The 25,310-nt window shown below is 53.7% G+C and overlaps 2 protein-coding genes across 6 annotated transcripts, besides 4 other annotated features; one reads left to right on the top strand and one right to left on the bottom strand.

Annotated features, from left to right (window-relative positions):
• Positions 3–232: a silencer, noted in NCBI's record as "silent region_121". NCBI's record gives its function as "represses an Ori minimal core promoter by ATAC-STARR-seq in GM12878 lymphoblastoid cells {active_cell/tissue: GM12878}" and the evidence as "EXISTENCE:reporter gene assay evidence [ECO:0000049][PMID:35858748]".
• On the top strand, positions 159–5,271 carry TPRG1L (tumor protein p63 regulated 1 like). The gene is made up of 5 exons (NM_182752.4): positions 159–417; positions 568–659; positions 857–1,033; positions 2,644–2,797; positions 3,553–5,271. The coding sequence occupies exons 1-5, from the start codon at positions 217–219 to the stop codon at positions 3,745–3,747; spliced, it is 819 nt and encodes a 272-aa protein (NP_877429.2). The 5' UTR covers positions 159–216; the 3' UTR covers positions 3,748–5,271.
• Positions 533–1,195: an enhancer, noted in NCBI's record as "H3K27ac hESC enhancer chr1:3541953-3542615 (GRCh37/hg19 assembly coordinates)". NCBI's record gives its function as "activates a minimal SCP1, AML or CMV promoter by ChIP-STARR-seq in primed H9 embryonic stem cells {active_cell/tissue: H9 hESC(primed)}" and the evidence as "EXISTENCE:reporter gene assay evidence [ECO:0000049][PMID:30033119]".
• Positions 5,914–25,247, bottom strand: WRAP73 (WD repeat containing, antisense to TP73). Of its 5 annotated transcripts, none has more exons than XM_017001387.3 (12): positions 25,075–25,247; positions 22,552–22,704; positions 21,810–21,926; positions 13,894–13,966; positions 12,139–12,242; positions 11,088–11,174; positions 10,304–10,438; positions 10,141–10,218; positions 8,542–8,647; positions 7,357–7,461; positions 6,610–6,801; positions 5,914–6,261 (listed from the first exon to the last, which is right to left on the bottom strand). In XM_017001387.3, the coding sequence occupies exons 1-12, from the start codon at positions 25,141–25,143 to the stop codon at positions 6,119–6,121; spliced, it is 1,362 nt and encodes a 453-aa protein (XP_016856876.1). In that variant the 5' UTR covers positions 25,144–25,247; the 3' UTR covers positions 5,914–6,118. The 5 variants fall into 5 exon arrangements, with proteins under 5 accessions (XP_016856876.1, NP_060288.3, XP_047277617.1 ...); NM_017818.4 differs by having other exon boundaries at positions 7,357–7,482; XM_047421661.1 differs by lacking the exon at positions 10,304–10,438.
• Positions 16,124–16,624: an enhancer, noted in NCBI's record as "H3K27ac hESC enhancer chr1:3557544-3558044 (GRCh37/hg19 assembly coordinates)". NCBI's record gives its function as "activates a minimal SCP1, AML or CMV promoter by ChIP-STARR-seq in primed H9 embryonic stem cells {active_cell/tissue: H9 hESC(primed)}" and the evidence as "EXISTENCE:reporter gene assay evidence [ECO:0000049][PMID:30033119]".
• Positions 17,456–17,701: a silencer, noted in NCBI's record as "fragment chr1:3558876-3559121 (GRCh37/hg19 assembly coordinates)". NCBI's record gives its function as "represses an EF-1alpha promoter that drives an FKBP-Casp9 reporter gene in an ReSE screen in HepG2 liver carcinoma cells {active_cell/tissue: HepG2}" and the evidence as "EXISTENCE:reporter gene assay evidence [ECO:0000049][PMID:32094911]".

Genomic DNA, 25,310 nt, shown 5'->3' on the forward strand with positions numbered 1-25,310 from the left:
GGCGGGGCAGAGCCAATCGCGGAAAACGGCAGGAGGAGAGCCAATCCCGAGGGTCGGCGGACGCGGGAAGGGGCGGAGCCAGAGGCGGGGCCGGCAAGGCGGAGCCAATCGCGGCGGTCCGCGGGGCGGGGCCGGGGGCGCGGCCGGGTGGTGGCGGTGGCTGCGGCGACGGCGGTCGCGTCGGCGTCAGGGTCGGGGTCGGTAAGGGGTGCGGCAATGCTGCAACTGCGGGACTCGGTGGACTCGGCCGGTACGAGCCCCACGGCGGTGCTGGCGGCCGGCGAGGAGGTGGGGGCAGGCGGCGGCCCGGGCGGGGGGCGGCCGGGGGCGGGGACGCCGCTGCGCCAGACACTCTGGCCTCTCAGCATCCACGACCCCACGCGCCGCGCCCGCGTCAAGGAGTACTTCGTGTTCCGGGTGAGGCAGGGGCCAGGGCCGGGGCGGGGGCCGAGGGCGCGGGGCGGGATGGGGGCGGGTGGGGTCGGAGGCGGGCGCCGGGCGGTCCCGCAGGGAGCGAGCTGTGACCTGTGATCTTTGCCCCCGTCCCCCACCCCGCAACCCGCCCAGCCCGGCAGCATCGAGCAGGCAGTGGAGGAGATCCGCGTGGTGGTGCGGCCCGTGGAGGACGGCGAGATCCAGGGAGTGTGGCTGCTTACCGAGTAAGCCGGGGCTGCGCTCTCCTTGGTGGGGGGACTCGCCCCGAGCCGCCGCGCAGCACCTTGCGAGGACTTCCCGGGGTGCTCGTGCCACGCTCAGGCGCCCCGTGCCGCCCCTGCTGCCCTTCCAGGCGGGCTGGCCTTGGCTAAGTCGAGACAGCCGCGTCCAGTGTGGACTGAGGCCCCTCCTCTGCCTACAGGGTGGATCACTGGAACAATGAGAAGGAGCGGCTGGTGCTGGTCACGGAGCAGTCCCTGCTTATCTGTAAATACGACTTCATCAGTCTCCAGTGCCAGCAGGTGGTGCGGATAGCGCTCAACGCAGTAGACACCATTTCCTACGGAGAATTCCAGTTTCCCCCTAAATCGCTCAACAAGTAAGCCTGTTCAGAGTCCAGTATCACTGGACCTAAGCACCAGAGTGGACCTTACAATTCAGCCCTTTTAAATCAGCCCCCCAAGCGGTGTGTCTTCTCTGTCATTAATTATAAGCACAAAGGCTCCAGCTCCAAATATCAATGGGAAGTTCCTTAAAAAGAAGCGACTTCTGGGCAATTGAGTGCATTAAAAGGAATTCTGGCACAGAAGGCAGCTATTAGGCTGGTAGTAAAAAGACTTACATGAGTTCAGGATGCATTGAAGTAGAGCCCAGCGTGTTAAAAAGGAACTTGGATGTTCTTCAGGAAAAGTCCAAACTCTGCATTTTTCTCCAGCCAGGGACAGATTGCATATGACACATCAAGTCTTGCTCTGGCTAATTTTTTAAAGAGAAATGGAGGGTCCCGTTGTAATTTATAGATACCACTAAAAGACAAATTTGGAAATATTTAATGACCAGCTTTCAGGAGTTGATCTTTTTGCTGTAGGATAATTTTCTGACGTGAGGAACCTAAACATTACTACAGTCAGTTAAGCTGTAGAACTTGGGTTTTTGATGGAGAGATTTGGATGGGGGATTCAGGAAGCTAAAATAAAAATTTTACCTTTTGGTTAAAACATTTAATATGACATAAGGAAAAGGAAGATTACACTTCCTTTTCACTCATTTGGCTAGCCTATCTATAATTATTCCCTTTTTTTTTTTTTTTTGAGACGGAGTCCCACTCTGTCACCCAGGCACCAGTGGTGCAGTCTTGGTTCACTGCATCCTCCACCTCCTAGGCTTAAGTGATCCTCTCACCTCAGCCTCCCAAGTAGCTAGGACTACAGGTGCCCGCCACCACACCCAGCTAATTTTTGTATTTTTTGTAGAGATGGGGTTTTGCTAGGTTGCCCAGGCTGTTCTCAAACTCCTGGGCTCAAGAGATCCGCCCATTTTGGCCTCCCAAAGCGCTGGGATTATAGATGTCAGCCACCGTGCCCAGCCAGTATTCCTGTTTATTAATTTTTAATCATGTAAAGATTACCAAAATAATACATTTAATAACCAAAATATACCTAATTTGTCATATTTATACCCACAGTATTTAAAGCAATTGTTAGTGGAGATTGAAGTTACTACTAAAAACCACAGGCCGGCCAGGCACGGTGGCTCACGCCTGTAATCCCAGCACCTTGGGAGGCTGAGGCGGGCGGATCACCTGAGGTCAGGAGTTTGAGACCAGCCTGACCAAAATGGATAAACCCTGTCTCTACTAAAAATACAAAATTAGCTGGGTGTGGTGGTGCATGCCTGTAATCCCAGCTACTCCGGAGGCTGAGTTGGGAGAATCGCTTGAACCCAGGAGGTGGAGGATGCAGCGAGCCAACATCAGGCCACTACACTCAAGCCTGGGCAACAAGAGCAAAACTCCATCTCAAAAAATAAAAATAAATAAAAACAAAAATAAAAACTACAAGCCGTTTTCCATTGTGATATGTCATAGGTCTTTTCTGTAAACGTGTGCTTTTTGCTGTCATATTCTCCTAACTGATGAGACTGTCAGATTGTCCATGAGAGCACTGTGGCCTGCCATGCTAAGTCTGGCTATTTCTTCTGACTTTTCAGGCGAGAAGGTTTTGGGATTCGAATTCAGTGGGACAAGCAAAGTCGTCCTTCCTTCATAAACAGATGGAATCCCTGGTCTACCAACGTGCCCTATGCCACTTTCACAGAACACCCGATGGCTGGCGCAGATGAGAAGACAGCATCTCTGTGTCAGGTAAGAAGACAGGCACATAAATAGCCGCGCCCCCCGCAGTGATGGAAACACCCCCCGCAGTCACGGAGACACTTCAGGTCTGCACTGTCCGGCGGCCACGCGGAGCTGCCGAGCACTTGAGACGTGGCTAGAAATGAGAGAGGAAGCTCTCATTTTAGAGTTGATTCCCTAAGTTGTCAGAAATTCTGGTTAATTTATGTTAAAGTAGCCGCATGTGGCCAGTGGCTGCTGGTTAGCATAGCTCCATAATGTGGCCTCCTGATGGTGATCTGGGTGGGGAAGGGCCCCAGCTGGGCTTCAGAGAGTGGCAGCAGACCCAGCCGTGCCAGATGACCAGTGCGGATGCGCACCAGGAGAGGAGGCCTCGGGGCTGGGGTTAGAGCAGAGCCCAGAGCCCAGAGCCTGGCGGGGGTCCTGCACTTCCCCAGCTGTGTGCCTCGGCCTGGTTACTGACCTGGTAGGTTGGGTGACGGCAAAGCCACTCAGCCCTGTATACAGGAAGGGTTCTGCAGGTGCTGGCTGCCATTGGCCACAGGAGAGCATGGTGGCAAGATTTCCACACACCTAGAGAGCTCCGTGGGGACGAGAGTTGAGAGACCCCCAGGATGTGGCAGAGGCAGCCCTTTCAAGTGAAGGGACGAAGAGATAGGCGGCATTTGGAGGGATTTAAGTGTCTCAGAATGCTAATTTTTTCAAGTAATAGACATTCTTATCTTGCCTGACAGTTAAAGCTCCATGTTTTTCTCTCTTTAAAGTTGGAAAGCTTCAAGGCTCTGTTAATCCAAGCTGTCAAAAAAGCCCAAAAAGAAAGCCCTTTGCCAGGACAGGCGAATGGCGTGCTGATCCTGGAGCGCCCCCTGCTCATCGAGACCTACGTGGGACTCATGTCCTTCATTAACAACGAGGCGAAACTGGGCTACTCCATGACCAGGGGCAAAATAGGCTTTTAGCCGCTGCGTTCTGGGAGCTCCTCCCCCTTCTGGGAGCTCCTCCCCCTCCCCAGAAGGCCAAGGGATGTGGGGGCTGGGGGACTGGGAGGCCTGGCAGTCTTCATGCTGCCCTGCTGCTGCTGGAAGGATGGGGATCTTTCACCTTTAGGGATCTCAGCACAATTAGAATCGTAAAGTGAATTCTATCTATTTAATTGGATATTGGACTCTGCTCATATAAGCTACAGACAAAAGCCAAAAGACTCTCGCTGTCCCTGTGCTGCTGGTATTTCATTCTCTGTAACTTCAGTTCTGGTGTTTTCCTTGAGTATCTACTTGGCTTCTCGTGGTTTTTCCCACCCCAGCTGCCCCAGCACGCGGGACCCATAGCACACCCCTTAGCGCTTGCCTAGGTTGCTGAAAACAGGGAGGCACCTGGTATCTCGAGTGCCTGCAGTTGCAAGTATGTTTACACCTGGTGTCCAATTTTGTATTTTAAAATGTAATCCATTTTTACTTCAGCTCATCCAAAAGCAGCCAGCAGACCGGTTGACTGAGACCGGTCTGTGGCTGTGGGCCCCTTGGTGACCCGCTGCTCTTTTGGAAATGGGTGACCTGAAGTGACACTTTTTCCACAATTAACCCAAGTTGTGTTAATACTTCAGGTCTGTTTCCCAGACCCAGAAAGCTTTACAGAAAATCATTGTAAGACAATTTATTAATTTGAGAAAGTCACCTTGACAGTTCTTTGCACACAAGTTTTACACCTCTCTGGATTCGAAGTTTGTATTGTATTCATAGTTAAAGGGAATCGGGTACTTTGCTTGTTGAATAATGCACTTTAAAACAAGGAACCGTATCAGGCCAGCATGGTGGCTCATGCCTGTAATCCCAGCATTTTGGGAGGCTCAGGCAGACAAATCGCTCTAGCTCAGAAGTTGCAGAGCAGCCTGGGCAACATGGTGAAACCCGTCTCTACCAAACAGACAAAAAGCAGCCAGGCGTGGTGGCACATCTGTGGTCCCAGCTACTTGAGAGGCTGAGCCAGGAGGATCGCTTGAGCCCAGGAGGCGGAGGTTGCAGTGAGCTGAGATGGCACCACTTATTGCACTCCAGCCCGGGCGACAGAGCGAGACTCCATCTACCAGATCCTTATGACGCAGCTGATGCCTGCCTTGGTTCCTACCACTCTGGTGTAGACAGAGGACTTTGTCCAAGTCTCACACTAAACATGCCCGGGCTTCGATGTGCCTGGAGGATTTCCCCACAGGGACCCACGCACCTCCCTGTATCTGCGCAGCTTGCTCGTGTGGCTGGAAGCGCTGTCGATAAGCTTCACGCACTGGCTTGCCAGTTCTTCAGCTCTAGGACTTGTAGCTTTAAGCAAACGGTGTGGCATGGGTTGAGTGTGGCCACCTGCAGGATGTGCAGGGCTGCCTCAGAAGCTGGCTGGGGACTCTAGCCTCTGTGTTCATAAAGACATTAAGAAGTGGATGGATGTTGTTCCTTTTTTGAAGTTGTCATTAAAGTAGGTGCAACAACCAAGAAAGTGTCTCTTCCCTCTTTGAAAGCCTGCCCCATCTCTGCCGGCTCTGCACCTGTGGGCCTGTTCTGCCTGTACCATGCGGACTGCCTGTCACAGCAGTGCCGAGTATGGTTCTCTGCAGAAAGAGATCACGATATGCAACAACCTAGGTTTGCAACCCTGATCCCCCCACCTGTGGTGCCAACCAAGTCTGGCTGCCTGCCGAGCACCAGCTGGAGAGATTGATGGAATGGTTCTGGGTGGTTCTAGGCACTTCCTGCAAATAGCCAGGGTGGAGACCCACGCACACTGGTTCCGAAACCAGAGTAGACATGAGACTTCCTGAGGAACTGACTCAGCTGGTCGGGGACCTGCAGCTCCCATCCCGAGGGGACTGGACCTGGGGGTGGCGCTGCTCTCAGGTGCCAGGGCTCCCTGCCCACACTTCAGACCCACTGTGGGGAGGCTGGATGTGCCCCACAGAGATGCCCCCTCGTTGTCCTAACACATCCAAACAGAGAACCCAGAGCAGGCCGGGTGTCTGGCGGGAGCTAGTGGCCCGGGGCTCAGTTACTGTAGGGCTATCCATCTTCCCTAAGACTGACCAGAACCTCGAACCTAGAAAACCTGCCTGTGACTAAACGTTTCAAGAAGAGAAGTAGTTGTATAAATCAGCAAGTATTTATTTTAAATAATAAAACTACAGTTTTATACCATACATATTTACAAAAATGCTTTGCTATAGAAAAATAGAATCAATCACTGAATCCAGACCACCACAGTGGAGAACCTCCTGGTGAAGCTGTGTTTTTTCCCACACTGGAAACACAGAGTAGCCCTGTTTCTGCACACGTTAGTGCACCGCTGCTACGTGTGGCCGCCCAGCTGTCTGCAGGCTGTGCCGACCACTGCCTCTGTCTCCAGGAAGCAGAGGCAGAAGTGATCCTTGCTGAGGAGGGCCATCGAGTCTCCGCTTAAATGCCAGCACAGAGAGAGCACTGCAAAGTCGCCTAGAGAGAGACAGGTGGCCAGAGGATTACAGCAGGGGAGGCCCAGATTCTGGGGGATGGGCACCCCCTTGTCCTGCAGGCCAGCACAGTGCCTGGAGTGACCCACATAGGCAGAGCCAGGGTGGAGCCCCAGAGCTGCCTCAAGTCAGGGAGAGGCTGCTTCTAGCCCATAAAGCTGAGGGCAGCGGGTCCCCTGTGTGTCCGTCTTGAGGTTTACGCAAAGACTCTGAGGGCAGTTTCCCTGGAGTGCTGCCGGAGACAGCAGCTGGGCTTCAACAGTTCAGCCCGTGTGATGCCAGACTGCACACAGCAAGGCTGCCACGTCCGTGGCCTCGGGGATGTGCTTACCTTCCCCAGGCACCTGCACCGACATGCAGCCCGCTGGGGACCACAGGTAGAGCCTGCTGCCTCCCGTGCAGATGGCCAGCCGCGGCTGCTGCGGGTCCCACTGAAATGCGCGCACTGGGGACAGCTGCTCGAGCACCGCGAACAGCCTCAGCTTCTGAATGTCCCAGACCCAGACGGCATTGGGAATGTTGTCTGAGGAAGGAAGGACAGGGCACCGGTGTCATCCCTGCCTGGCTCCTCTGTGTTGGCCCTGCCCCTCTGCTCTGCTGTTGACACCACAGGAGGGGAGGGGAAGAACCGGTGGGGTGGGGCGGCTGCACCCTGCAGTCTGGGTTCAGTTGGGCCCTGTAGGGCTCCTGGCCAGGGCCAGGGTGGCCATCACGGGCTGTAAGGGGCCCAAATGTGTTTCTTTCTTTGGTATTTTTTTTTTTTTTTTAGCCCTTTACAAATGGAGAAACCCTTAACAAAAGGCGGGCTGCAGTGTGCCCAGCCCTGCTTTCTACTCAGCAGAGTGGAGCAAGTGAGCAGGGTGGAGGCCTCCTGACTCATGCGCGGACCTGCGGCTGCTGCAGGACAAAGGCCCAGCGCCTCCAAGGAGCTTCTGTGAGCACCTCGGCTACTGCAGAAACGTGAAAGGAGGTGACGTGTCGGAAACCCCCAACTTCATTTTCTTTTCCAGTCGCTTCTACACCTGGGGCCACAGGACACAGTAAAGGGTGAGACAGCACCTGCGTCAGCACAACTGACCGTTCCTTGTCGCCAGGAAGTAGCTGTCAGGACTAAATGCCAGCATTCCTATGCCGATTTTCGGGTTTGCTCTGTCGGTAACAGGTTTCAGTGTCTGTAAGGAGACTGGGACAGAGGCGATCTCATCTAGAACACCAACAGGAAGAACACGCCATTGTCACCCTTTCGGGAAGTACGCACGCGGCTGAGAGGCTGCTGTGCCTGCATCGGGCATCGCGAACCCAGCTCCTCTGTTCAAAGGGGAGGAAAGTGCGGCCCAAGGGCAGGAAGAGCTAAGCAAAGCCTGGCAGCCGCAGCGAGGGGCCTGCCCGCAAGTGCCCCGGATGAGAGTGGCACCATCACCTGCCAGGCCCGACTAGGTGGGGGGTGGACCCCACGTGCCAGGGGCTGACTGGAGAGGGACATGGACAGGTCCTAGCTGCAATCTCAGCAGCTCCAACTCCTCAGCACTTTTCTGTCGACTACCAGCATCTGAGTTCACAATCCCTTCCACCTCAGCGTCAGTACCCTTAGACTTTCCGGCTGTGGAAGAACCATCATCACAGCAGAAGCAGGGGCTGTGGAACAAGGACGCCCCTGGGCTCCTGGGGAGCGCCTCCTGTGTGCCAGGCTGCACCTGTCCTGACCCCCATCCTGAGCACACACCGAGCCCCGGGGTGGGCCCGTCGGCACTTGGGGCACCGCTTCCTCTACCTGCAACCTTCAGATGCCCTCATGCCCCTGTGGGATGGGTGCTTTTACTATGCCCATTTCAGCGATGAGGAAACAGACACATAGGAAATGCCCAGAGTCAAGAGGCTGCATCAGAACCGGGCCTCAAGCCGGAGACAGCGCTCGGGAGCACCGCCGGGTTCCAGACCCACTCTGAGCGCCACCCACGGAAAAGTGTTTCTTTGAAAAACATCATTCTCGGAGCTCCGGAAAAACATCCCCTCGGAGCTCCCGCTGTCAGATCCGGGTCTCCAGGGCTCATATTCAGTAACAGAAGCCGCACCTTCACGGCCCACTGCGCAATTCAGACCCTAGTCAACCTCCAGCCAACAGGCTGAGGGGCACACTGGCTGGAAGCATGGAAGGGAAAAAAAGTTTTTTTTTTTAAACATAAGGAACATCCGAAGTTTATCTGGACAACGAGGAATCTTGCATTAAAAAAGGAAAACAAATGACATCACATGTGCTACTTACATTTACTCTCTGAGCTCGGGAGAGGGCCGGCCCCGGCCCGGGGCGGCGGGAAGGAGAGGCAGCCCAGTCCCAGCTGTGGGCTCTTCTCGGCCTCCTTATACACCACCTGAAAGACACAAGGTGGCCACGCCCGGCTCAGGACAGGGACCCGGAAGCCAAGGATGGACGTGGCAAATGCCCATGACAGCGCATGGTCAACAGGTGTGCCTGCCATGACAGCTGGTCCTGCTGCCACCGGGAGAGACGGAAGCACGAACCCCGCAGTCCCGAGAGCTGAGATCACCCAGCCACCCTCTCTCGTGTCCTGCTGAGGAGCCCACCCTTTGAGACACAGGCAGCAAATGTGTGCCCTGTGATTACAGACGGGAGACCACTGCAGCCACCATCATCCAGCAAGGGAGTGGGCTCAGCCTTCCCTCCGTGATAAGAGGATACAGAGAACACTTGCACCAACACAGCAGAGGCCCCGGGAGCAGCAGACACAGACCCGAGGTGGGGGCATCTGTGCCCGAGAGCCTGGCAAGCAAAGGACAGCGGCCCAGGCTCAGTGGAAGGCGGGCAGCCCCTACGCCCCTGAAGAGCCCCAGGTAAGGGAGTCACCTGGCCTGGTTCATGCCTTTAAAGCATGCTCTGCTGCTGTGTGGCGAAGGGATTTGGAGAATGCAGGAATCACAGGCAAACCTTCAGGACCTGTGTGGCCAGCCCTGCTCGGGCTCACCTGTCCAGACACCCTGGCCTCCAGCCACACAAGCCACTGGCCACGTCAGGAGGCCCCTCTGCCTGAAACACCCTTTCTGCCCAGACACCGCGCAGCTCCTCCTCCTGGTCTTCACTTAAACACCCCTCCAGGATGCATCCCCGGCAGTGGCTGATCTGGCATGCGCAGCCCCAGCCACTCACTGGCCTCTTCATCGAATCCAAGCCGCCTTTCACTCAGCTCTGTCGGTTACAGGTCAACACCAGGAGGGCAGCATTTGTCTCTGGCTCCCAGCGCAGTGCCCGCTGCACACATGGATGCGTGGCCCACTCCTCGGGGCCTTTGCATTTCCTGTTCCCTTGGCCTGGAACGCTCCCTCCCCGAGTCCCTGATCACTGGTGCAGCATCTGTGCCTGCGATCCCTCGCTGGTGGCCACTCCCTGCCACCCCGTGGAGACACCCAGCTCTCCAGCCCCTTCCCTGTCTCTCCAGCCGCACTCTGCAAGTGCAGGGGTCTGTCTCTTCTTCTCTGGCTGCGGCCCAGAGCACAGTGCCTGGCACGACAGCAGATGCCCAGTGTTTGGGGGCAGGAGACCCTGGCCACTCTGTACAGCACAGGGATCTGCATCCAGACAGACCACAAAGGAGAAAACTGGACTGGGGTGGCAGCGGCAGAGGACAGGCCAGGGCAAGGCCCACTTCAGACCCTTTGGGCAGCGTGGAGGAGGAAGAACAAAGGCCAGGGCAGGGCCAGACGCGTGAAATGTCACAGTAGCAAGTTTACGGTGATGGAAGTGCCCGGTTAAATAATAAACCACAATCAAGAAAGCAAAGTGAAGGAGCAGTTTCCCACCGCCCTCCCCAACAGCCTGCTCAGGCAGAAACACGTGTTCCAGACTTACTATCTTGGGATCATTAATGGCTGCAGGATGCCCAAACTCCGTGATCATTTTCCAAGTCACGTGATTAAGGATGCGCACCTGAGGAAGGAAACCATGCACAGGTGAGGCAGGGCCCGGCCCGCTGGGCGGTCGGACTTCCTGAGTGCCCTGCACTGGTTCCCACCTTTCCATCATAGCTCCCAACTGCCAGGAACTGACTGCTGGGGCTCCAGGCCACAGACTTGATGCCCAGGGACCACTCGTAAGCGCTGTACGTGGACAACAACCGGCCATCCAATGAGTACAGCAGAATCTTGTACTGCAGATGAGACATTTCAGTTAATAATGAATACACCCCCGTCGCCAGGAACACACCACAGACGCGGGTGCTGCAGAGTGACATTGGTGCAGATAGCACAAAGCTGGCAGGACTGTCCGCGTGGCCGTGGAAAAGCTGGAACTGCCAGCTAGTACTGAGATAGTCACGGAGAGGCAGTGAGAGCATGAGGAAAAAGGGGAAATTGGGAGGTCAACCTAATGGCTCGCTGATAAAAGTTCAACTCGGCCGGGCACTGTGGCTCACGCCTGTAATCCCAGCACTTTGGGAGGCCGAAGCTGGCAGATCACTTGAACACAGAAGTTCAAGAGCAGTCTGGGCAACACGGTGAAACCCCATCTCTACAAAGAATACAAAAATTAGCCGGGCGTGGTGGTGCATGCTTGTGGTCCCAGCTACTTGGGAGGCTGAGGTAGGAGGATCACTTGAGTCCAGGAGGTCGAGGCTGCAGTGGGCCGTGATCACACCACTGCACTCCAGCCTGGGTGACAGAGCAAGACCCTGTCTTTTAAAACAAAGCTCAACTTGTTATCTGAAATAAGATAAAGCAAACTATATTGCAGCATTCAGAAAGCATGAAATTCCGGGAAAAGCTCTCGAAAGCAAACATGTCACCTGGTCATCTTCATACCTCCAAGCAGGTGTCCCACACTGCCAGCACACAGCCGTTTGGGGCCCACTCAATCCCTGTGAGATCCTGGGTGTCCGTATCAAAATGCTTCCAAAGGAAGGGGGGGAAACATTAAATTTGGAAAATATTTTCGTAAATAAATAATTGCATTTATGACTGATGTTCTTAACGCACTTAATTTCCTTATATAGAAATTGACAAAATCTCAACAGCTCTATCCTGGAAATGCATGAAATCCCTGTAGAGCTGCTGCTGGGGCTGCACCGCCACAGATGCCAGCGTCAGTGCCTGGCCAGCCCCCAAGGGCGGCTTGGTCTCCCCGCGCCTGCACTCGTGTGCACACTCTCCCCCTCACCTTTCCTTGCCTGGCCAGCCCCCGAGGGCGGCTTGGTCTCCCCGCGCCTGCACTCGTGTGCACACTCTCCCCCTCACCTTTCCTTGCCTGGCCAGCCCCCGAAGGTGGCTTGGTCTCCCCGCACCTGCACTCATGTGCACACTCTCCCCCTCACCTTTCCTTGCCTGGCCAGGCTCACTCCTTTAGACCCAGCTCAGACAAGTCCCTTCCAGAGCACTGCCTGGATCCCGGGTTCTGCACTCTGACAGCATTCCAGAGGTTGCTCTACCTTAATGATGGATTGTGCTGGAATCGTGTTCATATGTCTGCTGTGGGGGCAGTGCCCTCTGTGCCTGGGCACCTGGCAGAGCGCCCTGCCTAATGCAGGCCCTCAGTCAAGGTGAACTTCCACGTCCCCCCAACTCCCGACGTGGCACACACATGCGCAAACACCATCACACAGGACAAGGAAAAGGGCTCAAATGTGACAGCATATTCACTTTTAAAACACCTGGGCACGCGTCCTTTTCACCAAGTCTCCTGAACACACAACCGGGTGCCACTGGAAGTGATTCGCAGCGCACCTGCCCTTTGTTAATACAACATCACCTTGCTCCATATCCTACCAAAGATCCCCTGGAATCTGGAAGGATCTACTTCACTCGATCCCTCCACAGTCAGCAGGACAACTTTATTCCAGTCTGGGGGACGCCTTACCCGCAGGAGCTGCCAATCACTGCAGACGAAGATGCTCACGTAATCTTTGCAGTCGCGCCGTTCTGCCAGCGCCATGTAGCGGCCGTCCCTGGTGAAGGTGATTCCTGTGGGAAGAGGCAAATGCACTGAAATCAAGCGGCCACAAAATCAAGCAAGAGAAACCACAGTAGTAATTCACAAGGAAGGAGGAGGAAAAGAAAGCAGAGGTGAAAAGAAGGGAAATGGCACAATGCCGAGCACTGCTCCTCAGACAGACAAGAACATTCTAGCGCAGAGGAGAAACCCAAGGCACGGTGCCTTCACCCTCACAACGCAGTGTGTGCTGGGGGAAGCTGTACACACACAGGAGCCGGTTTGCAAGGCTCTGTCAAAAATACCAAGTGATGTGACCTCTGATTAATCACAAATATGAGTGAGAAACACAGGCCTTCGAGTCCCCCCATGTCTAAGCTGCGGGACACCCAGGGCTATCTCCAGCTAGGCAAAAGGCAGCTGGTTCCTACCATATTTATTTTACCTTTGAATTTAATTATTTGGAAGAAGTAAACTGAAGATGAAAATGTGTGGCCAGGCATGGTGGCTCACGCCTGTAATCCCGGCACTTTGGGAGGCTGAAGCAGGTGAATCGCTTGAGCCTAGGAATTTGAAAGGAGCCCAGACAACTTGGTGAAACCCCATCTCTACAAAATATCAGCCGGCTGTGATGGTGTGTGCCTGTAGTCCCAGCTACTCAGGAGGCTGAGGTGAGAGGATCACTTAAGCCCAGGAGGTCGAGGCTGCACTGAGCTGTGATCGTGTCACTGCACTCCAGCCTGGGTGACAGAGCAAGACCCTGTCTCAAAAAAGTAATAATAAGATGAAAATGTGGAAGAAACTTTAGTTGAAAATGTTAAACTCTTATTTTCCAGTTCTGTATTAGCTTAAAAAGCCCTAGGCCAGAATTCATCATTCCTGAGTGAAAAGAATACCTCAAATGACGAAACCACGGTGTCCACTCCTATCAAGAGATATGTATCTCATCTGGAGGGACGCTAATATTCCAACTATAAGAATAAGAGTGTGACTGCATTGCATTCAAATGCAATTTCCAAACCGCTGGCAGCAACAGAGAAAAATGAAAGCATCATTCCAACTGTGTATGTTTCATTCCGCAAAAAGACAGTGCGGTGTCGTCCAGGACTCAGGAGTGGCACCTCCCACTAGCTCTGCGCGGTCCAGTTAGACGCGCTGGCAGTGGGCCACCCTGCGCCGGCCCCCTTTCTTCCAGATGGCTCACAGGCTTCCACAAGGAAGGGACACTGGTCACATATCCCTCTGGGATGCCCAGAGATGACAGGCAAGACCTCCCCCTTTCGCAGACATCATATTTAGTCCACAGAAGAGAGAAAGCTCAGAACTGGATGCCTGAGGTGGGCCTCTCAACAGGCATCGGCTGGAAGGGGTCTGAACGCCCAGCTCTGCCGCCAAGGTCAAGGGGACCGGCATCAACGCCACCGTTCTTCCATGTCTTAGGCCACGTTGTCTTGAGTCACTGTGGTCATGTTTTAAAAGGGGACTCTTGCCTTTTTGAGACACATATGGAAATATTTACAGATGAAGTATGAGGAGACCTAAGGTCTCCTTTAAAAGAGCCCAAGGGGGTTGGCTATGTGTTGATATGCTGCTGAAGCTACTTCTGCCTCTTTGAAACTTCCCGTGACAAAAAAGTCAAACAGCTGCAAAGAAATGGCTTTTGCGTGGCTCCGATCGACTCACCCTGCAGACAAGCTTTCGGGTATTTGATGTAAGACACGGATTTTGTGCACAAGGACCAGACGGTTATCCGCAGCTGTTGGGGGAAAGGGGAAAGAGAAAGGAAACACTTCTTTAGCATCATCAGAGACCGTCTCAATCCTCAACCCGCCCACGCGTCCCCAAGCACAGGCCTGACTGCTGGAGTGGATCTATCAGGACCTGGGGGATGCCTGCCCTCCTACCGGAATATTCAAATGCGTATTTTACTGTGGTTACGGTAAATTTGGTGTTCTTGGTTTTCTGTTGTTGTTGTTTTATACCAAAATTGAGTGACACAAAGTTAAATCCAAGTGCTTTTTCATTAGCTTTTTCAAAGTGACCATAGGTTGCATGTTATAATAACCCTGAGTTACTCAGAGAAAAATCTTGATCTAGAAACCACCACGGGTTCAGTCTCCTTTATGGGAAGACAGAGGATCTGGAGATTGGATGCAGCCACTCCGGGACTCACCAGGGGGCTGTGAGCCTGCATCTGCAGCCCTGAGGCAGGAGCAGCCACTCAACACCCAAGAAGGTGTCCGTCTGCCTCCTGCGTGTGCTCGCTGGCCTGGCTGCATCTGCAGAGGGTTCTAGAACATGCGCTGCTGGACTGTCCACTTTTCCACCCCTTTCCCTGACTCAGGGAGCTGAGAGCTGACTAGGCTGGCACAGTGAGGCCAAAAGATGATTTTCTAACCAGGCCGACGAGGGCGTGCCTGCTGAGGGAGAGGCACCGCAGTGGGTGGTCCAGCCCTCCCCGTGGCAGCGCCGCGGGACTTCCAGGGCTGCTGTGTCCCTCCACCTGCATTTCCCACTGAGACCCCGTGGAGCCTACCAGGGAATCATCTTGCTTCCCACATCCCCGGCCCACTGATGAATCTGGTAGTTAACTGAAATATGGCCGAGGTGCGGGGACACAAGGTGCGGGGTGGGGTGCTGACTGCCAGCTCCGTGTGTGGGGACACAGGGCTGCGCAGCTCCATGTGGGGTGGGGTGCTGACTGCCAGCTCCGTGTGTGGGGACACAGGGCTGCGCAGCTCCATGCGGGGTGGGGTGCTGACTGCCAGCTCCGTGTGTGTCAGGCAGGGGTCCTCGCTGAGGATGAGGCCCGGGGTGGGGGACCGTCTCCAGCAGCGTAAGTGGGGCCGCAGCGTGTGGGGCACAGCATGTCCACAGTGTCACTCCTGCAAACGCTGCCAGGTTGTCAGTATAGGATATTAACAAATGATTTAATTTAAATGTCTACGCATCATCTCTTCTTACAACAGAAAAGAAAATCTGATGTCTGTAATTGTTTCTCCAAACAACATATACAGCGTTCAGGAGAGAAGTCCTGAACACACAGGTAGTGGATCAACGAGCTCCAGGGGTCACGTGGCAGCACGGAAGGGCTCCTGTGCTGATGCTGAACCCGAAACACACTGGCCGTTCTGGGGACCATGCCTCGGAACTCCAGCTGCACAGAGCACTTGCTCCTCTAACAGCTCCACAAGCTGAGGCCAAGGAGGGCGCTGGGGCCTGAGCGAGGAAGCGTGCTACTTCCCACCAGCGTGTCTGAGGCTGAAACCTTGCCCAAGCCTCTCAGACTCAGCAGGGTGGGTGCAGCGCCTGAGGCTCTGAGCATCAGCAGGGCGGGGTGGAGCGCCCGAGCATCTCAGCATCAGCAGGGCGGGGTGGAGCGCCCGAGGCTCTGAGCATCAGCAGGGCAGGGTGGAACACCCGAGGCTCTGAGCATCAGCAGGGCGGGGTGCAGCGCCCGAGGCTCTGAGCATCAGCAGGGCGGGGTGCAGCGCCCGAGGCTCTGAGCATCAGCAGGGCAGGGTGGAACGCCCCAGGCTCTGAGCGTCAGCAGGGCGGGGTGGAGCGCCCGAGGCTCTGAGCATCAGCAGGGCAGGGTGGAGCGCCCGAGCATCTCAGCATCAGCAGGGCAGGGTGCAGCAACGGAGCATCTCAGCATCAGCAGGGCGGGGTGGAGCACCCAAGCATCTCAGCATCAGCAGGGCGGGGTGCAGCGCCCGAGCCTCTCAGCATCAGGAGAGTCCATGTGCCACCCAGGGCAGAGACCTGCCCTCCAGAGCCTACTGCAGAGTCACAGGAGAAAAGCACATCTCCCACCTGTGGCCCTGCATCCCTGTGGGGTGCGCCTGGCCGAGGCTCCCCACTCAGGCACATCTTAGGAAACACAGGGAGCACTTTAAGCCTGATTTTTACCTTCATCTCACAAAAACAAAGAAACAAAAACCTTTAAAAGATAACTTTGCAACTTTTAAAAACCCAATAAGAAAAAAAGGTAGTTAAATATACACCTTCATCAGCGCTGTTACCTTCCACTGACCACTGGAGAAGCCAGCGGAGGAGACCCGTGGGATGGGCTCCACAGCACTCAGCAGCAGGAAGAAAGGACCAGAGGGATCCACATGACCCAGAGCACTCAGGAGGGAAGGAAGGGGCCGCTGATCCACGCTACGACCCAGTGTGCTGAAGACGGAAGGAACGGGCCACCGATCCACACCACAACTCAGCATGCTCAGGGTGAGAGGAATGGGCCACGGATCCAAGCCATGACCCAGTACACTCAAGACGGGAGGAACAGGCCACTGATCCATGCCACGACCCAGCACTCTCTCCACACCATGACCCAGCACTCTCAAGATGGAGGAACGGGCCACTGATCCACCCCACAACCCAGCACACTCAAAACCAGCAAGATGCCAGGGAAAAGGAAGCAGACGCACAGCTCCACGCACCATGGCTCTGTGCAGATGGGATTCCGAGTAGGCAGTGCTGCTCGCCCCGCAGCAGGCACCGGCTGCCGGACACAGGTGGGAGACGGACTGAGCACAAGGGGCACGAGGAGCCCCATGCCACGGGCGAACAGTCTTGGTCCTGATTGTGGCGGCAATGACGTGCAAAGTGACTCACTCAACTGTGCTCTTAAAGTGGGTGAATTCTCTTGCTTATAAATTGTTTTAATTGCCTTTATTCAGATATAAGAAAAAGTCTGCAGTCTGGATATATTTTTAAAGCTAACTATAGACTATTTACAACATACACACTCAAGTTTAAGGATGCAGAAATGTAGAAGGTAAAAGGATAGAAAAAGACATATCAAGAAAATCCTAACCAAGAGAAAGGTGGCACTGCCGCATTCGTACGGGATAAATCAGACTCTGAAACAAAAAGAACCGTGAGACATAAAGAGGAATACTTTACAACAAAAGGCCTGTGCCACCGCGGAATCATGGGAACCGCTTCACTAGGAAATCTGTTTACAAACAGTTAAAAGTTTGTATGCAGCTAACAACAAAGTCTCAAAAATACATTTAAAAATCTGGCAGAGCCGGGCGCACTGTTGTGCACCTGTAATGCCAGCTATACAGGAGGCTGGGAAGGAAGGATTGCGTGAGTTTAGGAGCTCGAGACCAGCCTGGGAAACAAAGGGAGACCCCAACTCTACAAAAAAATTGTTTTTAAAAAATCTGACAGACTACAAGAGCAATGAAGAGGAATCAGTCCCATCAGATATTCAAACACACCATAGAACCTCAATAATGTAGACAGTGTGGTGCTGGCACATAGGTGGACCAACAGTGGACTGGAATGGAAACCAGAAGTGATCCTGCAGGTATAATGGAACTGAGCTCCTGCTATAGCTGGTGAAGATAGCCTTCTAAATAAATGCTGCTGGGAGCTGGGCACGGTGGCTCACACCTGTAATCCCAGCACTTTGGGAGGCCGAGGCAGGCAGATCAACTGAGGTCGAGAGTTTGAGACCAGCCTGACCAACATGAGAAACCCCATCTCTACTAAAAATACAAAATTAGCCAGGCGTGGTGGCGCATGCCTGTAATCCCAGCTACTCGGGAGGCTGAGGCAGGAAAATCGCTTGAACCTGGGAGGCGTAGGTTGCGGTGAGCTTGGATCACACCATTGCACTACAGCCTGGGGGACAAGAGCGAAACTCCATCTCAAAAAAAAAAAAAAAAAAATGCTGCTGGGAAAAGGTAGAAATGGATTCAGACCCCACAGTGTGCCCCACTACGTGAACCTGCTTCATTTAAATGGAGCATGTGTGAGCGTCTGTGTGTAATGAAACAAGATAGGAAAGCACTCAACCTCACCGAGAATTAGGGAAACGCAAACTAAATCCAAACTGCAGTATCATTTAGTCGCCTGGATGGAATCATTGTAATCCTGCCACAAAAGCCTTGGCAAATGAAACCCCTCCGTCTGCTACGGCCAAGCAAGGCTCTCCTAGAGAGGCTCTCCGGGTATGTGCCCAGGAGACGGGGACAACACGTTCACAGCCACACCGTCCGTGGTGACGCACACGTCCAGCAGGCGAGGACTGAATGGCGTTCCTCACGAGGAAGGGAAGGCCCAGCGATGCCTGTCAACACGGAGGAGTCTAAAAGCAGTGACGGGGAACAGCAACAGCAGAGACTGCAAAGTACAAGCCCCTATAAATCAACTTTACACTGCACAGCAAGCAATGTGGTGTTTAGACACATCTGTACAGTGAGACTCAAGAACAGTGAGGATGTGATTCACGCAAGACGTGGGGCAAAGGTGCCCTCAGGTGGGGAGGGCATTGCTACGAGGAAGAGAAGGGCTCTGAAAGCGCGGCAGTGTTCCGCTGCAGGCCTAGGGGTGAGCCGCTTTTGATGACTCACTGAACCTCGTCTAATGGGCGCAAGCTTGCCTTTTCACGTTAAAATGCAAGAGGCAGGGACGTCTCCCATGCTCCACAGCACCCTCACGTGGGGTGGCGCCTTCGCAAGTGGACTCAGCGGCCCCACTAACCCCCGAAATGGGGTCGCGCCTTCGGAAGGGGACCCAGCGGCCCCGCTGAGCCCCGGACATGGGGTCGCGCCTTCGGAAGGGGACCCAGCGGCCCCGCTGAGCCCCGGACATGGGGTCGCGCCTTCGGAAGGGGACCCAGCGGCCCCGCTGAGCCCCGGACATGGGGTCGCGCCTTCGGAAGGGGACCCAGCGGCCCCGCTGAGCCCCGGACATGGGGTCGCGCCTTCGGAAGGGGACCCAGCGGCCCCGCTGAGCCCCGGACATGGGGTCGCGCCTTCGGAAGGGGACCCAGCGGCCCCGCTGAGCCCCGGACATGGGGTCGCGCCTTCGGAAGGGGACCCAGCGGCCCCGCTGAGCCCCGGACATGGGGTCGCGCCTTCGGAAGGGGACCCAGCGGCCCCGCTGAGCCCCGGACATGGGGTCGCGCCTTCGGAAGGGGACCCAGCGGCCCCGCTGAGCCCCGGACATGGGGTCGCGCCTTCGGAAGGGGACCCAGCGGCCCCGCTGAGCCCCGGACATGGGGTCGCGCCTTCGGAAGGGGACCCAGCGGCCCCGCTGAGCCCCGGACATGGGGTCGCGCCTTCGGAAGGGGACCCAGCGGCCCCGCTGAGCCCCGGACATGGGGTCGCGCCTTCGGAAGGGGACCCAGCGGCCCCGCTGAGCCCCGGACATGGGGTCGCGCCTTCGGAAGGGGACCCAGCGGCCCCGCTGAGCCCCGGACATGGGGTCGCGCCTTCGGAAGGGGACCCAGCGGCCCCGCTGAGCCCCGGACATGGGGTCGCGCCTTCGGAAGGGGATCCAGTGGCCCCGCTGAGCCCCGGACATGGGGTCGCGCCTTCAGAAGGGGACCTAGTGGCCCCGCTAATCCTCGAACGGGTCTGGTCCTTGCTCTTGTGAATGAGACTGATGGACGGTGCCCGCAGCTCACTTCCTGGCCAGCACGTCTGGAATTCCGGTTTTGTTTCCTCACTTGCAACCATTAAAGTTCGCATGCAAAGCTGGAGACACATTTTGACATCTTGGTCAAGATGCCCCATGCCTTGAGGTTACCGGTCCTCATCCACCACCTGGTCTTAACGTTTCCTCTAAGGCCACCAGCAAAGTGGTCATGACCTTAGTCTTAGGTTGAACAATGTCATCTAAATGTACTCTATGAAAAATCAGTTTGTTCTGTAGCAAAGGTGTTTTCAATATTGGTGTGTGTGACATGGGATGCTCAACAAAACCAGGCTTTTATCCATCTTTTAAGGTTTCTAAACTCTATAGATGGTAGTTTTCCTTCTGGGCCATTTAATAAGATAATACAACAAGGCTGACCCCATGACATGAGCCCTTCTCAAGGGCAGATTTGGGCCCAAAGCATTACAGGCCTGAAGACTGTTAGACACGGCTGCGTGAAAAGCTCAAATTATCCTCTCTGAAACACTCAGGCCGAAAGTGCCTTCCAATGTCAATACATAGTGCGGAGACATTGGTGGGCCTTTGTTTCCTGTCTTATTCTCTGACAGCCCATAATAGCAGACATTAGATTTGGAGTATTTTTTAAAATCGAAACTGAAAAATATGTAAAGCCATCCAGCCATCTGAAGCAGTTGATTCAGCAACCCTCATGGCTGGATAAAACTTTATCCCAGCCGATGCCAGCTTGAAAAAAGCCGAATGAAACCCTACAGAGCATCTGCAGCCACACGCTGGGAGAAATCCTCCCAGGTGCCATCATCTACGTGGTGTGCGCGGCGCAGCGGGACGGGAGGGCTGCAGTGTGGTGTGAGCGGCGCAGCGGGATGGGCGGGTTGCCCCGTGGTGTGCGTGGCGCAGCGGGACGGGCGGGTTGCCCCGTGGTGTGCGCGGCGCAGCGGGACGGGCGGGTTGCCCCGTGGTGTGCGCCGTGCAGCGGGACGGGCGGGTTGCCCCGTGGTGTGCGCGGCGCAGCGGGATGGGCGGGTTGCCCCGTGGTGTGCGCGGCGCAGCGGGATGGGCGGGTTACCGAGGTGCAGCCAGCAGCCCAGACAGCTATGAGCACTCAGTGGACTTGGGCCCAAACACTGGGATCCAACTCCATCAGAAAAGCACATTATTAAAGGAATTCGTCCATTTTTCTGTATCTTAAAAAGACACTGCGGACACCAAAGACCTGGTATCTAAACACTTGACATATGCCTAATTTTAACTTAAAATGCAGTCTCCTATCCCAGATCCCTCTGATTTATTCTCGGATGTCAACATTCCCCTCCGCGCTGAGCTCAGCACGGAGGCTGTTGTGCGGTACCTACAGCAGGTGAATGGGCGGCTGCCGACCGCCCCGAGCCACGCCCCCAGGCCAGGCTCCTGAAGGAAAGGTGCGAGCCGGCTCATATCACAGCGCATTTTCTATCGTTGAATTAAAGGGAGTGCCGAAATCCTAAAAAATCTAAATTAAGATTTTTAAAATGTTTTTTCTTCAAAACTGGACAAAAGATCAGACAATAATACTTAGTGGCTTATAATGCTCTGACCTAAAATATACACACCACTATATACGCTCCCCGGCTCCCTCCAACCCCGCCAATCTACCAGCCACTCGGGAGCCACCTCAGTCATCAGACCCAGGGCAGCAGACAGTGCCTGTGTTCACGACACCCTTATCTGACTCAGTAGCAGCCCAAAGCACGGGCGGTGGGGCTCGCAATCTGGATACGCCAAAGAGAAGCCACAAAGTGCTTCCTTTAAATGACGAGCTGAAAGTTCTTGACGCAACAAGGAAAGAAAAAATCCTATGCTGAGGTTGTTGCTCAGATCTTCAGTAAGACCAAATCTTCTATCCATGCAATTATAAACAGTATATTGTTATCCTTGTTCTATACTATGATTGTTGCTAATCTCTTACTGTATCTAATTTATAAATTAAATGTATCACAGGTATGCTGTATAGGAAAAAACACAGGAAATACAGGGTTTGGTACAATCTGAATCCCCTGGTGGTCTTAGAATGCATCCCCTGAGGATAAGGGGAGACTAGCATACTCCAAACACACCCCCTCTCGCACTCCCCAGCTGTTTCGAGAGCAGAGGACAGGATCACATGGCCAGTAAGGTGTCTTGGGGCTGACACTTACATGGAATTCCGTGGTGTTGAGAATGTGGCGCCCGTCCGGGCTCCAGCACGAGGCCACCAGCCCGGCTGAGCCCTCGTCTATTTTGCAGTGCCATTCGGGCTGCTCTAAAGACCAGACCTGGATTGAGAGAAGAAAGAAACACACAAGTGCAAACTCATCAGCACCGAGAGACAGCGAGGACAGCTCGCTTAAACGCAGCGGAGACCCGACCGCACAGGGTGTCTTCAAACTCATCAGCAGTCTATAGCGAGGCCTCGCCGAGAGACAACTCCCTTAAAACCAGCAGAGACCCGATCACACAGGGTGTCTTTTAGAACCTTTCATGATGAAGGGCTGGTGCTGGATTCCAGTGTAAAAGTAAGCCACGCTTCTTGGTGATTTCATTTCGTTGTTGTTTTAAAACTGTTTATTCACATTGTCATTCCTAAGACCTCATTTAGTTAAGCTTTGGACACAGAAGAAAACACGACTTCTTAGGACTTCCTGAAACACACCACATCCGCGTGGCTAGATTGCTGTCAACACCTCCGTTTCTCAACTATATTGCTTAGAAATTAAGACTACGTTGGAGTTTCCTTAGTTTAAATGTTCTTAAACTTTAGAGAACGTTATAATTTCAAAAGAAAACTGGCTTTGAGCTGCACGGACTTTTTTTTCAAACTAGAAAGGCACAGAACAAAACCCCTCCTTCCCAGGGGCCCTCAGAAGGTGTCCAGATTCTAAGCGACACGGCAGCACACACCTGCACCAGCCCTCGCTTGTACATGGCGCACAGGATGAAGAGCGAGTCTGCCGACCACTCGATGTGCTGGATCTGGTCTAGGCACGTGTACAGCTGAAGGATCTGAAGGGTGTTCACATCCCGGACCACTAACCGGTACTGGACACAGGAAGCCTAAAAAATATGAGAAAGCAAGCACCTGACATTCTCCACTCCAAAAGAGGGGGGCCTTCGGAATGCTACTGCCCTGGCCTTCAGTGACTGTGGCCTTCTCTCCTGCCAGAGGTTTCATGTCTAGATCACCAGTGACATCCCCAGCCCCTAAAGATCAGTTCAGTTCATACAAGGGTAATGTTGAAATATACAAGCCAGGTTTTAATATTGCTATACTCTATTGTAAAGTATAAAAGTATGTTTTAACTCGCTACTTAAAGCTTTAAGACATTTTTAAGTCCCTTCTTATCTGTATGTTAAAAACTAAACTTAAATGGGAAGTAGCATTGGGAGAAAGCTCTTCTGTGAACTAATAACCAAAATCCTCTGCTAGTTTTATAAACACTTTTGGACAATTTCCTCAAATTTATAAAGGGTAAGAATTGAGGCTTCACAGATGACAACGAAAATGGCAAGGAATGCATCAATCTTCTTATGCAGTGCCGAACTCAGAGCCAAAACAACAGAAGATCAAAAGACAGGCTTTCACTTCTGCACACATAAAGATGCTTCGCAAATGCTCATTTATCTCCATTAACCTATTCCTAACACGAAACGGGAAATGTTTAAGTGTTAGTACTATTTTCTTAAAGATAGTTTCTTCTTGTCCATATTTGTTCATTATGTCCCTATCCAAGCAAACAATTTCAAGTAAAAATAACGCCTGAGTACTCACCTGCTGAATGTATATTTTACTACAGTTTCAAGATCAAGAACTGATGTTTAAATATTAACTGCTTCGTTAGTTTTACTTATCAAGGTCAAAGTAGTTTGTGTTTTATGAACCGATATCAAAAAAGAAAGCCACGTTAGTTTTCCGTGGGAGAAAAGAGAGACAGGCGGGTGACGGCAGATTGGAACAAGGAGCTACCACAGCACTTACTTTCTCACACTGTAGCTTTGAAAACTGTGATCAGTTACAGTGAATTCCTTATGAAATGGAATATTTTTACCAACACCTTGAGGAACCACATAAACTCTACTGCAAGATATGAAAACTAGAAACATGGACCTGCTCTCCCCAGTCCTCAGGGCTTTCAAGAAGATGATTCCAGTAACAGATCATTACCAAGTGTTTCAGGGTATTTTGACCAGAGTGTACAAGCTGGAAAAAAACACCCAAGTTAAGCAAGCAGATGTAATCTTTCTCCTTATAATTCACTGAAATTTTCATAAATGGTAAAAACAAAAAACAAACCTCTCATTTAATTGAGGAGGGGGGCACATTGAAAATATACCAAGGCTGAGATGCCATTTAAACTAATGAGGTTTTCTGTTTTGTAGCTGATGCTATTTTATGTGATTTGGAATAAAACCTCCCTGAAGAGGTAAAAAACGTAATTTGAGAGTTAAACTCTCAAAAGCTAGACAGAGCACAGGAATGTCAGGAGTGGCAAAACCTGAAAAAGCATCATGATACATCAGTCAGTTAGTACAGGTGGTGGATAAGGAAAACGAAGCCCACTTTTTACGAGGCATGTTTCTTCTTAGTGGCTTTCCAATGCCAATTGTCCCCCTCTTCTGAGGACATACATACTAGGCATCCGGGTTATCCCTCTCTTCTGAGGATATACACTACTAGGCATCCAGGTACATACACTATATGTTTTGAAGCTTAAAGTTATAGCTCTGTGATTTAAGCACCCTTCTGCCACCCATGGAACGAAGACCTCAAATCCCAGCCATGAGGACAACTACTTCCTTACCTGGGGATAGAATACTAGTATTTAAATCATTTATTCGGCATGTGGTAGAGGAGAAGAGAATTAGAGGAGAAGTAGAGATGACAAAGTAGCCACACCACTTACCAGTTTACAGGCAACAGAATCATCAATTTGCCTTTTGTGACAAAGTAACAACAAAGAGCCGACATCTCCTATACCCTCACCTGTGTGCAGTCGGCACTGCCGATACCCACCTTTCCAAGGGCACCTCCCCAGACCCCCCACCTGTCTACGGTATCTTCCTGGGTCCCGCACCTGCCCGGGCACCTGCCGGGGTCCTGCACCTGTCCGGCCCCCATATCTGCTTGGGGTACCTGCCTGGGCCCCGCACCTGCTTGGGGTACCTGCCTGGGCCCCGCACCTGCTTGGGGCACCTCCCCGGGCCCTCCACCTGTCTAGGGTATCTTCCTGGGTCCCGCACCTGTCTGGGGCACTTGCTCAGACACTGCACCTGCCCCGGGTACCTGCCCGGGCCCCGCACCTGTCCGGGCACCGCACCTGCAGGATCCCCAAGCTGCCTCCACCCACGCGGCCGCCCCCGGCCCTGCCCGCCGGGGACGCTGGCACCGAGGATGTCCTGCCCGTGGCCCAGGTCCCCGCCGCTCACCAGGTACTTGCCGTCCGGGGAGAACTTGCAGAGTAAGCTGGAGAGCTTGAATACCTCGGAGAAGTTCATGGCCGCCGCCTGCCGCGGGCGCCACCCTGCGCCCGAAAACCCGCGGGACCCCTGGGCGCGCAGCAGGCTGCAACAGCCGACGCCGGCCTCCGAGGCCGGAAGTCAGAAGGCGGAAGTGAACTGCAGCCTATCAGCGCCGCCGGCTTCCGCGCGGCATTGTGGGGCTT

The sequence above is a fragment of the Homo sapiens genome, chromosome 1 (genome assembly GCF_000001405.40).
Source record: "Homo sapiens chromosome 1, GRCh38.p14 Primary Assembly".
Classification (NCBI taxonomy): domain Eukaryota; kingdom Metazoa; phylum Chordata; class Mammalia; order Primates; family Hominidae; genus Homo; species Homo sapiens.

Excerpts from the sequence above, each read along its gene's own strand:
- TPRG1L (NM_182752.4), top strand. The coding sequence starts at position 217 with ATGCTGCAACTGCGGGACTCGGTGGACTCGGCCGGTACGAGCCCCACG. Across the intron at positions 418-567 it reads AGGAGTACTTCGTGTTCCGG|CCCGGCAGCATCGAGCAGGC; the intron begins GTGAGGCAGGGG and ends CAACCCGCCCAG. Across the intron at positions 660-856 it reads GGAGTGTGGCTGCTTACCGA|GGTGGATCACTGGAACAATG; the intron begins GTAAGCCGGGGC and ends CTCTGCCTACAG.
- WRAP73 (NM_017818.4), bottom strand. The coding sequence starts at position 25,143 with ATGAACTTCTCCGAGGTATTCAAGCTCTCCAGCTTACTCTGCAAGTTC. Across the intron at positions 13,967-21,809 it reads TCAACACCACGGAATTCCAT|CTGCGGATAACCGTCTGGTC; the intron begins GTAAGTGTCAGC and ends TTCCCCCAACAG. Across the intron at positions 8,648-10,140 it reads CCATTAATGATCCCAAGATA|GTGGTGTATAAGGAGGCCGA; the intron begins GTAAGTCTGGAA and ends TGTGTCTTTCAG.